We start from the raw sequence: 16,393 nt of genomic DNA, 5'->3' as shown, positions 1-16,393 counted from the left end.
ACTCATTTGGAAAATGTCACCCACTAAAACCACTGAATTTTGTCCAGTGTAAGCTCAAAGGACAATATCTTAAGTTGATTCATAATAAAAACAAGCGTACGTCTGATATAGAACTCATGATTATGAAAGTGAAAGTTCAAGCCCTTACTCCCCATCACTTTGTGAAACATTTTCTACATTTATACCTCCTTTCTTTTTTGCTCTCTTTCTCTCCTGAAAAAAAAAAGTCATTTTAAACATGGTGACAGTCCAAAATTCAAAATAAATTAAACATTCATTTGATATTCCTTGATCGGCCTAATAAACCACTTTTTTTTGTCATTTCAGTATTCCATACTCAAGCTATGTTTGCATTTTGTTGTTTAAGTATTTGTTAATCATTTTTGAAATTCTGAATCTAACAAAATAAATCAATAATTGAGCACATTTATGAAAGTCCTTTAAATATAACACGTGGCAAGGACATTTTCAAATTCAGAAGTTCTCTCATTTACATTATTTTAAAATCATACTATACAATGATTTGTGATTATATCTTTACAATGCCTGACAAAGGGGATAGCTGCCATTCCTTGTGTGGATGCTGTGTTAAGCCATCTGAACAAAGGCAGTATGGACTATATCATAATCATTTCCCTTTTATTTCTCAGAAACTGAGGTTTTTGAAAACTTCACAATTAATAAATGACTTTGAACCCAGGGCTTTCTGATTCTAAAATCTGTGCTCATCAGGATAATCCCACACTCCCCAGGGAACTGACTGATAACTTAGTAAGTGTCACACTGCTCCCAAACACTCGTCCATATTAACTCATGTAATCCATACAACAAGCCTATGCAATCAGATAGATCTCTTTTTATTAGTCTCATTCTACAAATGTGCAAACTAAAGCACAGAGAAATTAAATGACTTGTCCAACTTTGCAAAACTACAAAATGGTGGAACTGGGTTGCAACCTCAGGCAGTCTGACTATAGATCCTGCATACTTCAGCACTATGCTACAATATTAGCCAGTGAATATGTTACCTGTTATTAAGATTTTCGTTCCATTTATATGCAAAAATTTTATTCATGTAACAGACCACTGCCCTCCTAGTGAAAATCATATCTAATTTCCGGAATTAGAATTTGCAAACCAGTTTCATTGCATAAGCCTGGTTATATAACTTGTTTAAATTTAGTGGAAAAGTCTTTCTCAATATTACTGAATGTATTTGTTAAGATTACATTTTCAGTTGTTCATTTTAAACAAGCTAGCTGTATTCTCCTAGCTAAAGAGAATGGTCATAGAAGATGTTAAAATGATTTCAGTTAACAGATGTATTAAATACTATATTTAAATAATATTTACAATCTCACCAAATTCCTACATTGTTTCCTTAGTATCTTGAAACTAAAGTACACATAAGAAGTATCTAATATATCTTTCTCCTTCATGTGTAAAAACCTAATAGACAAAATCTAATAAGAGTAAACACGATGGAGAGAAGCAGCAGCAGAAATTCCTTATGGTTGGTGGGGATTGGTGTGTGCATGGGTGTGTGAGAAACATGTGTTTCCTCATATATCATTTAAACATAATTTTCTCAAATATACCAAAAATTAATTTGGGTCATAAATTAAAATTAATGAGGATTTTATCATTTATCTCTTAGGCAAGTAGCATATAAAATAGTAGACTGCATTAATTAATTGGAAGAGACAATTATGGTCACAACTTTTTCCAGCTCTCTACTTGTGCTGTTAGTTGACCACAGACAACACCATTTATTTTTACAGAGTTTGAGAGTTAGCTAATAATTTCACATCCGTTACCTCTGTTGACCTTCAAAGGAAATCTTATGAACTAGGTAAAGCAGAAACGATTCCTTTCACTTTTCAAATGAAGAAACTGAGGCCTAGAGATTAGGGGACTAGTATGAGGATAAATGCTGGAGCTGAAATGAAATTAACATCTTCTGACTGAGTTTAATTTTCTTTCCACAACACCGTAAATATCATACACCAACTGTTAATATGGTGCATCTGTGAGTGGAAGCACATCAAATACCCTGTATAATAAAATTAAACTGTTGCAAAGCATAAACTCGGTAAAAAGTTTAAGCTTACATTGGCACCAGATCTATATGATATTGACCAGAAGACATCGAAACTGTCCAGTGACGTTTCTTAATTCAGTTAAAAAAGAGGGAAGATGCTATACTTCTAAATTCTGCCTATATAGGTATACATAATTACCACATTTATATACTTATACCTAATAGATACAGCTCAGCATGCCTCTTCATTTTACAATTGGTTGATACAGAAATAGACTAGATCTAGCCATATTTCATACCGGCGACACTAATACATGTGTTTTACACATTTTTCATTATAAAAGTAGGTACTCTGGTGAAAATCTCAACATATAACTGTGTACATGATATTAATTAAAAAAATACCTACTAGTGAAGAGACTTGGTTCTGTACATCATGATGGGGATGGATACAGTTCATTCAATCCACAGTCCTCTGAGTGACTCATAACCAAAATATGTGCCATTACTGTTCATATCTAAACAGACACAAAAAGATGAAAAAATCGGTCAGTAAGGATGATCTCATATGATTTGCATAAGATTGTCTTTCTAATCTGTAGCATAATAATAATAATAAAAAGATGTTTGACAAGCAACCCAACAGAAAGACCTTAACCTACATACCTCTATTGTTGCTGTTTTTATTTCATTAGCTTTAAGAATATAAATGGTTTTTGGTTACACGGGTGAATTTTATAGTGGTGAAGTCTAGGATTTTAGTACACCTATCACCCAAGTAGCGTACATTGTACCCAATATGTAGTTTTTATCCCTCACCCTCCTCCCACACTCTGAATCTCTAATGTCCATTATTATCACTCGGATGCCTTTGTGTACCCATAGCCTAGCTCCTATTTATAAGTGAGAACATGTAATACCTCCGTTTTGCACACAATGTGAAGTATAGCCACACGGACATACTACACAGTCAGTAAATATGTCTGACTCAGAAGTAAATTTACTAGTAACTCAATGTAACATTACTAGAAAGCCATATGCTTATCAATAAGAAAACCAAACTTATCCCGTGATGTGAATTTTTTATGGCCTATGTTTTGATCATTACCTTATGTATGCATATGAATTTCCATTTAGTCTTCACCACAAATCTGCAATGTAGTCATCTCGCTTTACAGATTTAAAGACTCAGGGGAGTAAGGCAAATGGCCCAAGACTCTGCCCTCTATAGAACGTGCTGCTTTACCATATCACGTGGACCATGCAAAACAGACACTTCTTCCAATGATTAGTTGTGCTCTACGTGTCCTACAATGTGACCAACAGATATTGAGTTGATATATAAAGATACATCTCATTGGTTCTCTGTCTCCCATATAGTTCTCTAAAATGCAAGCATGGTATTCTACTCGTCTTTGTATGTCAAGATAGATATAAAGTGAGATCTCGCTTTGAAATATAGTGCCTGGCACATACAAATACGTGATGAGTAAATGAATGAATGAACAGCAACAACAAAAGTAGGCATTGGCATCTATTTTTTGCCTTAATTCACACTTTTGTTTTGTCAATCCTTTAATTTACTTGCCAAAGTTATCTTTCTGTTTGCAATACAATCTCAAGAAGAAAAAGAATAATCTGAAATATCATTTGAATGAAGTTCAAATATATTCATTCCAAAAATTACACACTAGTTAGCAGTCAGTTTAATTCATTTAGAGATCGAATTCTATTTCTCAAAAATAGAAAAAGGTTAAATAATAAAGATATTTTCCAGAAAGAAAAAAATCCACGTTTTACCTATAGATTAAGTATTGGCTTCCTAACGGGACTTCCATCTACGCACCTTCCTAGATCACAGGGGGAAGGATGGCACGAATAGAGGAGAAAACTGAAGTCAAAGTCTATAGGCAGAAACTGCATGATTACTAGGAGCTAGGAAAAGCTGCTCTGGATTGGAGATGCTACAAAAAAACAGCCAGCTTGGAGACTCTAGTGGTCAGATCCCAATTTACTCTGCAGAAAAAGCAGCATCACAGCAATCTTTCCAGAGCAGGAGTGGGCAAACTCCAACCCTGCTGCCAGTTTTTGTGTAGCCTGTGAGCTAAGAATGGTTTTTACATTTTTAAATGTTTGGAACAAACTAAAAGACTTGTGCGAATTATTTGAAATTCAAATATCAGAGTCTATAAATAAAGTTTTATTGGAACACAGCCACAGCCATTCATTTACATATCGTCTCTGGCTGCTTTCATGTTACCATGGCAGAGTTGAGTAGTTGTAACAGAAACAGTATGACCCACAAAGCCTGAAATATATCCTATCTGACCCCTTATAAAAATCGGTTGCTGGGCAGGGCGCGGTGGCTCGCACCTGTAATCCCAGCACTTTGGGAGGCCGAGGTGGGCGGATCATGAGATCAGGAGATCGAGACCATCCTGGCTAACATGGTGAAACCCCGTCTCTACCAAAAATACAAAAAAATTAGCCGGGCGTGGTGGTGGGCGCCTGTAGTCCCAGATACTTGGGAGGCTGAGGCAGGAGAATGGCGTGAACCCGGGAGGTGGAGCTTGCAGTGAGCTGAGATCGCACCACTGCACTCCAGCCTGGGTGACTGAGTGAGACTCCATCACAAAAAAAAAAAATAAAATAAATCGGTTGCTGATTTCTGGTCTAGAAAATTGTTCATGCTTGATTTGGAGGAGATTATATGACAGGAAGAGGGGTGCTTTAGGGCAGATTGGAAGCAGAGGTTGGGAACCCCTGGCCTTACAGAAGATCATGAGCCTCAGGGGCAATGCAATAACCATCTTGAGTAGGGCAGGGTATTTCTTTGGGGACAGCAGGATTTTCCCTGTAGGAGGCACAAGCAATGAGTTCAGACTCAGCCACACTTCATGTCGGGCCCACAAGCTGAGGCAATGAGGATGGATGGAGAAAGATGGCCACCGGGATAGTGTCATTCTGCAATGTGCCAGGATGGCATTCTCTTCAAGGGAATATCCAGGGCTCTGTCTCCCTCCCTAAAGGTGCCATTCTTCAGAATGACAGATAACTGAGACAACCAGTCTTCCTGCTGAAGGCCTAAGAAAGGTGATGATAACAACAAACAGAAGAACTCTAAAAAAGTTAAAAGATCCTCCATTCGCCCCCATTTAAGGGCAAAGAGTGGACCACAGCAAAGATGCATAAATGGTAAAAATGTAAAACGAAGAAAGCATGAAGGTTATAGAGAAGAATCTGCTACATACATAATAGGACTCCCATGGAGAGGTGGCATTTACTTTTGAAAAATATCAAAGGAAGTTAAAATACATTTTGTAAAATGTCTATTTTTGAGACAACAGAGAACAAAATCCCAAAGATTTATCTTCAAGCAGAGAAGTTAATTAAGCCCAAATAAATAAGAAGGCCGCTAAGTGGTTGCCCATTTCATTGCATCTTAGAGGTGAAGAGAAGGTGAGTTTTGAGCTGGAAGACTTGGCTCTAAACACCAACTCTGATATATTCTTGCTACATGACCTTGGACAGCTGGCCTCATATTCAACAGCCTCACTTGCATCACCTCTAAAATAGAGTTTTTCTGAGAGTTGTAAGACAAAATATGAACAAAATGTCTAGAATACTGCCTGTCGCATGGGAGGTACGCAAGATTTACTAACTGCCCAGCTTGCTTTCTCTCCATCCTCTTCTAATACTAATCTCCAACCAAAATTATTACAGCTGTAGGAAATGGTTGCCAGATATTCAGTTCTCTCCTACGCTCCATACTTGACTTTGCTCCTCCTGTTTTCTCTGAGTAGATAACATCTTCTAATTTGGGGTGCCTCTCTATTTATCTGGTAAACTGCTATTCATTTGAAAAAATAATAACTCAAAAGCTAATTCTTACCAATCCCTAGTTCCTCAGGTACAAATATACTGCCATAACATTTTGAACATAATGTATATAATATAATAATATTGTATTATTATCTGTTTGCGTATCTGTCTTTCCCAGGAGGTTATATCTTGGTCATTCTGTCTGATATAGTATAATATCAAGATGATTAATTATAATCTCCGGGGGAAGACAGACATGGTTTTTTAAAAAATGCCCACACATACATATTTCTGCCTATCTACCGGCCTACTCTGCCTATCTACTGCCTATACTCCACTAGGCTCTTCGGATTCCTGTTGAATAGAGGAATTTCCTTCACAGGAGTTACAATCTGGAGTGATTTGCAGACAGCTAGGTGTGCAGCAGGTTCTAATATTTGTTGAGAGAAAGAAATGAAGAATGAACAAGTAAAGGAAGAATGACAGAAAGGCAATCTTGGTGAGGATTTGGTATATAAAAAATTGGCTGGGCATGGTGGCTCATGCCTGTAATCCCAACACTTCGGGAGGCCAAGGCAGGTGGATTGCTTGAGTCCAGGAGGTCAAGACCACCCTGGGCAACAGGGTGAAACCCCGTCTCTACAAAAACATAGAAAAATTAGCCTGGCGCAGTGGCACACGCCTGTAGTCCCAGCTACTTGGGAGGCTGAGGTGGAAGGATCACCTGAGCCTGGGAGGTGGAGGTTGTGGTGAGAGGTAATCACGCCACTGCACTCCAGCCTGGGTGACGGAGTGACACCCTATCTCAAAAAATAAATAAATAAAAAATAAAAATAAAAAATGAACATAGCATATTGCAGGTGGCATTGACAATTTAGTTATCTTGGAGATCCATCTTGAAATATGCACAAAATAAAATAAATCTCCTCATTTTATGGATGTAAGTCAACTTTAGGCAGCTCCCAGTAACGACATTCCCTCATTTCTTGAGCACCTACTATATGTGAGGCTCAGTGGGAGGTACAACCTCTAAGTCAGCTATTACTTATATGTGTTCAAAGGAAGATATTGAAGATGAAGAAAAAAATAGAGAATTTTTTTCTTGACTAAAGTCACACAGATATTAGTACAGTTAAGTCCTCACTTAATGTTGTTGATAGGTTCTTGCTCACCTGAGTACCTGGAGAAAACCCACACAGACATGGGGAGTTTGTGCAAACTCCACACAGACATTGGCCCCAACTAAGAATTTTTTTTCCATCAATATTATAATTATAAGAAAATAAAGTTGAATAAAACAAAATTATTCAAGGACCTGTTGTACACCGAGTTCTTAAATCTATGCATTTCCACGTAACAAATCAAGATTCTTCATTACTTTGTTAAATGATGCTTTTAACATAGCATTTATTGTGTGAGCAGTTAATAAATGGTAGCTGTTGTTACTACTGTTATTAACACCATAACACAACATCAGGGAAACAGTTTAACATTATGGAATGTTAAATTGCTATACTTATATAATACTTTATTATAATAAGAAATATGGAAGTTATACTGATATAAGGAAATGTATGCAAAATACAGAATATAAAATGGCATGTATTAGTTAACTAAAATTACAGGCAATATTGTGTATGGTAAATTAGTAAAAATTAGAAGTTAGTATGCTGAAAATAATAAGACCGTGTGTTTGTAGGTAACTTATTTGAAGTTCCTCAATTTCTTTGAGAGCACGAAAATTTCCTTGAATTCAAATTTATGTTAAAACAAACATAATGTGTAATTTCTAAAAGTGGTGCTACTATCCCAGACTTTCTCCACATTTGAAATCTAATTTCTTCTGGTGCAAGATAATAAATTACTGTTGTTTTAGTAAGAGCTGTTTGTTTATCTATTTATTTTACTATTGGGAATGGAAACAGAGGCAGATTTTTTTAAAGGATTACTGAAGTGAAGTTTTCTCTGAAATGGAGTCATTTAAACCACTTACTTCACTTAAAATAGACACAGCTTACCTTAACACTTCCCGATTAGCATAAGCAATCTACACATTATGATGCCGACTTCTGTAGTAAAGGCTAAATTATGTTAACATTTTGTTAAGATAAAGTAGTCAACACATGCTGAGAAGAAATTTATTTCTTATACAGTTATGCCTCACTTAACAATGAGGACACATTCTGAGAAAGGCATCATTAGGTGACTTCCTTGTTGTGCAAACGTCATAGAGTGCACTCACAAAAACCTAGATGGCATAGCCTGGTACACACCTAGGCTCTATCATAAACCCTATTGCACCTAGGCTTTCTATACAGCACATTACTGTACTGAATACTGTGGGCGGCTGTAACACAATAGGAAACATCTGTGTATGTAAACATCTAAACATAGAAAAGGTGAAGTAAAAATATGGCATTTGGCCAGCGCAGTGGCTCATGACTGTAATCCCAGCATTTTGGGAGGCTCAGGCAGGTGGATCGCTTGAATCCAGGAATTTGAGACCTGCTTGGGCAACATGGCAAAACCCCATCTCTACTAAAAAAATGCCAAAATTAGCCGGGCATGGTCCCACCTACTCAGGAGGCTGAGGTAGGAGGATCACCTGAGCCTTGGGAGGTTGAGGCTGCAGTGAGCCAAGATGGGGCCCCTGCACTCCAGCCTAGACAATAGAGTGAGATCTTGTCTCAAAACAGAAACAAAAACAAACCCCAAAATAGTAGTATAATCTTAGAAGACTACTCTTGTATAAGTGGTCCATCGTTGACCAAAACATCATTTCACAGTGCATGACTGTACAGAAATATGAGAAAGAAAGAGAAATTTTAGCAGAACCATAATAGCAATAGTGACAAAAGTAATTGCTGCAAAAGGGTAAGAATATTTGATAAGAGTGACGGCTGAGACTCAAAATCGTCTTTGTGCTCTGAGGGCTGTGGAAGGCTAACCCCACTGGGGGACATCCAGCTCACAGCTCATCTGGGCTTCAGACTTTCATCTTAGGGGAGTTCTAACCAGTGTCACTAACTGCTGAAGCAACTGACATTCTCTTATTCTCATTGAATTACAAGAGAACAAAGGCCAAAAAAATTGAAAGAATTCTGTGTAATCAAAGCATCTTTTAACAAAGAAGGTACAGAAAAATGACCTTGAACCTGATCATCAGGGAATCTGAAGCAGCTTCTTGGGCATGAGTGGGTGGCTTTTCTTCCCCACAGCAGTTATGTCCAGAGTTTTACATCTGACAAAGCCATGTCTTAAGCACACCAAGGGTTGGGTGGGCCTGGGGCAAATGGTGATATTCTGGATAAAAATGCACATTGTAGCTCAGTTTTCTTTAATTGAAAGGGTTATACGAAGAGTCTTTTTTCTCTCTTTGTTAAAATCCTAAAGTTATATTTCATTAGAAATAACTATTTTAGGGCACTTATTTGATAGCCACAGTGGTAAGGAAGGAATTAATAAATCAAAGGGAAAGACAGCCTTGAGGAAAAGGCTCAGGCATAACAAAAGTAGGAGGTGGATTCCTAAGCTTGTTTCAAATTGCTACTGGGTAGGTTTATATGTGTGTTTACATTTGTAATGAGGCAACTGTCATTTCATGTTTATATTTATTGGCTATTAAACTTTAAAGACCAGTTGTACTGAAAATTAACTCCTATATTTATTCCACATGTGCTATGCTGATGTTCCAATGACTTTTTTAATGAAGTTTAAGTAAGGACAGTTAAATGAACTAGACAAAAATCAGTAGATTTTTAAAATATATAATTTACAAAACAGAGACAGCAGCTTCAAAACCTATTTAAATTAAGTCTACTTCCAACATGATCTAATTGGGTTGAAACAGCCCTTTGGCAGGCAGGGGATAAAGAGTCCTCTCAAGAATCAGAGCTGTCACAATAGAGCAGAAGTGGTCAAGCTGTTTGATAGAGGGGTGAGGTGGAGTTTAGCTAATGCAGAGAGGAGGTCAAAAGTTAGGGCAAACGGCCAACAGAGAGAAACTGAAAAGCAGTTTCTATTGGCATCTTCCTGAGGGAAAAAGAAAGGAAAGGAAAATAATACATTTCAGAGAGACTCTCATCACACTTTATAATTGCATGGAAGATGAGAACTATGTAAATTAAAGGAAGGGATACTTGGCAAACCTTCCCAAAAGGCTAAGCTGCAATCTCATTATTTTAGCCATTACATGCTCCTGCATTTCTCTTTCTTCTTTTTCTTTCTTCTGCTACTTCCCCTCTTCCTTTCCTTCTTCCTTTTTTCTCTTCTGCCCCTTCAACCTTTTCAGCTGGAGCAATATCATAATTAACACTGCTCACGTGGCTACCCACATGCCAAGCGCTTATGACTCATTTACACGCATATTTTCTTTTAACACTCTTGCAGCATTGTTAATAGTATCCATATTTCATAGACCTTGAGGCTCATATAGACTGAGTTTCAAAGCCAAATTAGCCAATGAGTGGGCAAAGATGGAAATCAAATCTTAATCTATCTGATTCTTTAATTAATAAAAGAATGATTTTCAGGAGTGAAACTATAAATTGCAGAACTCAGTGTAACCACAGACCCTTTGCAAAAAAGAAATTAGGATGAGGATCGATGAACTTTGGGAACTAAGTGACCATAAGAGCAAAATTCTGTATTGGAGAGCTATTCAACTAAACATTCTTAAAATAAAAGCAATCAAATAAGTATTTAGGGAACAAACGGAATTCAATTCTGAACCTTACTGGTAGGAGGGGTCTTTATTAGGGACTGATATAGAGTTTGGAGGTCCCTCCAAATCTCATGTTGAGATGGAATCCCCAGCGTTGCAGGTGGGGCCTGGTGGGAGAAGTTTGGTTCATGGGGGCGGATCCCTCATGGCTTGGTGAGGTCCTCGATAGTAATCTGGCTGTTTAAAGTAAGTGACACCTCCCTTTGTTCCCACCACGTAAAGTGCCTGCTCCTGCTTAGCCTTTCACCATGAGAAAAATCTCCCTGACGCTTCCCCAGAAGTCAAGCAGATGCCAGTGCTATCCTTCCTGTACAGCCTGCAGAACCGGGAGCCAATTAAGCCTCTTTTCTTAATAAATTACCCTGTCTCAGGTATTTCTGTATAGCAATGCAAGAACTGCCTAACACAGGACGATGTACCATTTAACTCACATGTAAAAAGAGAAAGAAGAACAATTGACACTCGTCCAGGAGACGTCTAGACTGGAGGATCAGTTAAAGGGGTATTTTTTTTTAAGAAACTGCAGAGAAATTGGCAATCAGTCTAAGAATACCTCAGGCATTTAAAACATGCTGAAGACTCAAAGATAGAGACCAAAAAAGTGACACTTAAAAGTCAACTTTGAAGCCAAGGAAAGAAAAGAAAAAGAAATTTAATTATCATTTTAAAACCTAATAGAATCCATTCTGGAATGTGAAGCTTTCTATCAGTATACATCAACAGTTGCAAAATATACATTTAGATTGAAATGAAAATTATTCCCTTACAACCTCTTCTAAGCCGTCCACTAGGATGCATAATAACTCTCAAGTACTCAAAAGTCAGTGTATAACTGATTCTAAAATCTGAAAAGACCTTGGTTTTCCTGGAAATACAGTAAGAAGGCAGGCAGCCAAAAGAACATAGAAAACATTACGACCAGGGTTTTCTTGTTTTACATTTACCAGCCCAGGTACTTAGATGGCTATCTTCACTAGTCTTTGGATATTTTCCTAGTTTTGTATTAAAGGGAAATGATTTGTGACTCAGAAATCATATAATTACCTTGAGTGGATGATGGTTTACTAATATCTTGGTTATGCACGTGTCTGTGTCTATGGTATGTTTTGGAATTACAATATTTACACATTTTAAAAATTGTCCTTAGTCTTTGGAATTGATAATACTTCCTTTAATGTCAAGACAGAGTTAAAGACAACTGCAGTAAGCAATCAAGGATGACTACGATTATGTTCTCATCTCCATAGAGATTGTTTGCAACAGGAGGAGGATGACTGTAGCCAAGAGAGTACTTGTAACCGTGTCTTCCAGCTAGGATTTCTAAGTAAATTATAGAATGGAGGGTATTCAAGTCACATGCTCCTCAAGACACTGTCCATTTGGGGGAACTGAAAAACCAAAGCTGAGGTTAGAATTTAAGGTAAGCAATCAAACCTAAGCAAACCTGAAACCATGAAGATAAGCCACATAAATTCAATGTTGTCACTGCTTCCTTGACTCTGAATTCAGATGGAATTTGGGGCAACATCTTTAAGACGCCTCCCTAGACTAGGAGCTAGCAATACAATGAAGGGGCTTAAATAGTACCCTTTCACACCCTCAGCTGGCTTGCAGTTAAAAAGACATGCACATTGTTCATCTAATTATGCTTATGATATCTAACCTGCCTCAGCCTCATTAGCCATTCCAGACCGGGCTGCCTTCAAGGTATGGTTCAGAATCAAACTGCAACACCCTGTACCCGACAGCTCAGGTCAATGGCCTCTTTAGCAGCCCTTATCTTTGCTCCGGACTAACCTGTGGCTGTGCCCATTAACAGCCACTGACCTCCATGATGTTGTCTCCTTGATCCTAGGGAAACAAGCTTCAGAAGTTTCAAGAGCAGTTTCAGGTCAGAAATGTGCAAAGAGAGATCCCCAAACAGAAATAAATATATGGATAAGGGAAAAACAAAGTCTTCCCCATGGAATAAATTTCTTAGGCCTAACCAAAACTCAAGAGCAACACAAAAGCCTGAATAATTTACTAACAAGACTGTAAGAGTATTTTCATAGGGCAGAACCCACACTCGATGTAGGTATGGGGTGCCAAAAACACAGGGCCCAAAGGAACAAAGGGAAATAGAAAGGACTGAAAACATACTAGATAGGAAATAAAGGCATCTTAAGTAAGACTTGGTGATTGGCGCTCCACTCAAAATTCTAGCTAAACTTGGTAATATGGCAGGAATATAGTGAATTCTCCCTTTGGAGAGAGAAGACAACATACATGGAGAGGTTTTTGCGTTAGGTATGAGATGTACATAATACCAATATTAACCTTTTATTAGAGGAATTCTCCAAGTGAGTTTAAGTCCACAGTACGTGGATTCTGGGCCAGTGTGGGCCACTGGCACGGTTGATTGGTACCCTGGTGAATCCCCAAGTTTTTCTTTGTCCATCCCCCTTCCTTCAGCAAACACTGTGTGCTGAATTAATTCCACTTCTGAGGTTCTGATCAAAGTACACTTATTTGGTGGAAGAAAGCTGTAGGAGCAGCCCAGGCTGCAAATACTAAAAGATCCATCTAAAATGTAAGCTGCCTGAGGGCAGGGACTCTTTCTCACTACTATATGTCCAGCACCTAGCACAGTGCCTGGCATGTAGTAGACTATTTTTGAATGGATTAGCAGTCTTATAAAAAATATAGCATCTTCAAAATAAGTCTTTACTCAAGCTTAGCAGCTACCACCAGTGGTACCGAACCTTTCATTTAATGATAACCTTACTAAAATCAAAGTTAAATTATCATTTTTATTATTTACAACTATTTATTGATGGTCTTATGTGAACCAAGTAAAATACTAAATGTTCCATGTATGAATCTTATGATTTAATCTTCATAATAACCTTTAAAATGTACATTAGCTTCATTTTACAGATAAGAAAATTGATGATTCAAACTTAGGTTGGATTTGGCCAAATTTCCATCACTTTGCACCATGCAACAACTTGTCTTTGTTTTCTGTTTCAGAGAATCCTTTTAAAATCAGAAGTAATTTTTAGATTTAATAATTTTTGAAAACAGAAATAAGGTAAATGTCTGGAAGTAAGATGTGGCTAACTTTGGCATCAGTACAGAGTTACATGACATTAACTTAGCCAGCGATCCATATCCCAGTTCATCAAATGGAATTAGTACCACCAGCTCAGCAAATTAAATACAGGTAATATTCTGTGAATACGCTTTGAAAATTAAATATGTATATGTGCAAATCAGTATGCACGTTCTCCTAAAATTTTCTTTTTTGAGACAGAGTCTCGCTTTGTCACCCAGGCTGAAGTGCAGTGGCATGATCTCAGCTCACTGCAACTTCTGCCTCCCGGGTTCAAGCAATTCTTGTGCCTGTTTCCCAAGTAACTGGCATTACAGGCATCTGCCACCAGGCCTGGCTAATTTTTGTATTTTTAGTAGAGATGGCATTTGGACATGTTGGCCAGGCTGGTCTCGAACTCCTGACCTCAAGCGATCTGCCTGCCTTGGCCTCCCAAAGTGCTGGGATTATAGGCATAAGCCACTGCACCCAGCCCTAAAACGAGCATTTTCATTTCAACACTCATGGTGAAGAAAAGAAGCAGAGAGCCTCCCCATAACTAGCAAGAGCTGCTAAGCCAGCCTCAGAATCAACAGGGCAGGAGAGGTGTGGTAGGGTTTGGCTGTGTCCTCACCCAAATCTCATCTTGAATTGTAGCTCTCATAATCCCCACATGTCATGGGAAGGACCCAGTGGGAGGTAATGAATCATGGGGCTGATTACTCTCCTGCTGTTCTCGTGATGGTGAGTGAGTTCTTACAAGATCTGATGGTTTTTAAGGGTTTTTTTGTTTTTTTTTTTTTTTTTTTGAGACAGAGTTTGGCTCTTGTTGCCCAGGCTGGAGTGCAATGGTCCAATCTCGGCTCACTGAAGCCTCTGCCTCCTGGGTTCCAGCAATTCTCCTGCCTCAGCCTCCTGAGTAGGTGGGATTACAGACACCTGCCACCATGCACAGGTAATTTTTTTTTTTTTAGTAGAGACGGGGTTTCACTCTCCAAGCTGGTCTCAAACTCCTGACCTTAGATGATCCACCCATCTCGGCCTCCCAAAGCGCTGGGATAATAGGCTGAGCCACTGCACCCAGCCTATAAGGGGCTTTTCCCACTTTGTTCCACACTTCTCCTTCCTGCCGCCCTGTGAAGAAGGTGCCTTTCTTCTCCTTCACCTTCTGCCATGATTGTAAGTTTCCTGAGGCCTCCCCAGCCATGTGGAACTGTGAGTCAATTAAACCTCTTTTCTTTATAAATTACCCACTCTCGGGTATTTCTTCATAGCAGTGTAAGGACGGACTGACACAAGCTGGCAGCCAGATTAGCTTCATTGCTGGCATAGTGTTTTACAATCATGGGAAGTTTAGCTTAGTAATGGGGGTCCTGTTCTGTATTTTTAAAAAATCGTATTCACATACAAATTTATGAAAAGAAGGGACAGAATGTTTTTCTGTTCTAAAAAAAAAGACAAAAACTTGAGGTTATTTGACCTTTTCTCATCGAAAGGGAAATGAAAGTGCTTCATAATATATTATTTCCAGAAGAGCGCTATAGAGAATTAAAGGATGCTTTAAAATTATTTAATTGAAGGTTTTCATTATGGGATCATTTTGCAAAAAATAGAAAAAAAACTTTTTATTGCAACTAATGAATTAGTGAAAAGCACTTAAAGACATAGATAATATTTTAGCTGAATCTGCTTTAATCTTTTGTGTTCTCATTTCCTTAGAGGTGATTATGCATAGATTTATAGGAGAGATTATATTAAACTTCACCAGAGGGTATTCTTCTTAATCATCTTTTTTCAATATTCTTAATTACTATCATACTTAATCTAGTTTTCATTACATTTTTCTATTTTTCAGGATCTTAATGTTAAACTTTATCAAGTAGAGTGGAACTCCTACATATCTTTTTTTTTTTTTTTTGAGAGGCAGTCTTGCTCTGTCACCAGGCAGAGTGCAGTGGCGTGACCTCGACTCACTGCAACCTCTGCCTCCCGGGTTCACGCCATTCTCCTGCCTCAGCCTCCGGAGTAGCTGGGACTACAGGCACACACCACCATGTCCGGCTAATTTTTGTACTTTAGTAGAGAGGGGGTTTCACCACGTTGGCCAGGATGGTCTCGATCTGTTGACCTCGTGATCCACCCACCTCGGCCTCCTGAAGTGCTGGGATTACAGGCGTGAGCCACTGCGCCTGGCCAACTCCTACATATTTTATAAGAAATATACTCCACCAGCCGGGCGCGGTGGCTCACGCCTGTAATCCCAGCACTTTGGGAGGCCGAGGTGGGCGGATCATGAGGTCAGGAGATTGAGACCACCCTGGCTAACATGGTGAAACCCTGTCTCTACTACAAATACAAATAATTAGCCGGGCGTGGTGGCAGCGCCTGTAGTCCCAGCTACTCGGGAGGCTGAGGCAGGAGAATGGTGTGAACCCGGGAGGCGGAGCTTGCAGTGAGCCGAGATCGCGCTACTGCACTCCAGCCTGGGAGACAGGGCAAGACTCCGTCTCAAAAAAAAAAAAAAAAAAAAAGAAAGAAGGAAAAGAAAAAAGAAATATACTCCACCTTAAATATCCATTCTAGGCCAGGCACGGCGGCTCGAGCCTGTAATCCCAGCACATTGGGAGGCCCAAGCGCGGAGATCACGAGGTCAGGAGATTGAGACCAACCTGGCTAACACAGTGAAACCCCGTCTCTATTAAAAATACAAAAAATTAGCCGGGTGTGGTGGCGG

The 16,393-nt window shown here is 38.7% G+C and overlaps 1 protein-coding gene across 28 annotated transcripts in view; it reads right to left on the bottom strand.

Annotated features, from left to right (window-relative positions):
• CHRM3 (cholinergic receptor muscarinic 3) overlaps positions 1 to 16,393 on the bottom strand; it is a 528,883-nt gene that overhangs the window by 367,251 nt on the left and 145,239 nt on the right. For 23 of the 28 annotated variants that reach the window (NR_164748.1, XM_011544043.3, XM_011544044.3 and 20 more), the window contains one exon: positions 2,451 to 2,559. The gene's annotated coding sequence lies outside the window, so the exon portion shown is untranslated. Of the gene's footprint in view, positions 1 to 2,446; positions 2,560 to 16,393 lie in introns of all 28 variants that reach the window. The other 5 variants (XM_047443115.1, NM_001375982.1, XM_047443164.1 and 2 more) reach the window with 1 other exon arrangement.

This window comes from Homo sapiens, chromosome 1 (assembly GCF_000001405.40).
Source record: "Homo sapiens chromosome 1, GRCh38.p14 Primary Assembly".
Lineage (NCBI taxonomy): Eukaryota > Metazoa > Chordata > Mammalia > Primates > Hominidae > Homo > Homo sapiens.
This window is presented reverse-complemented; position numbering and strand designations above follow the sequence as displayed.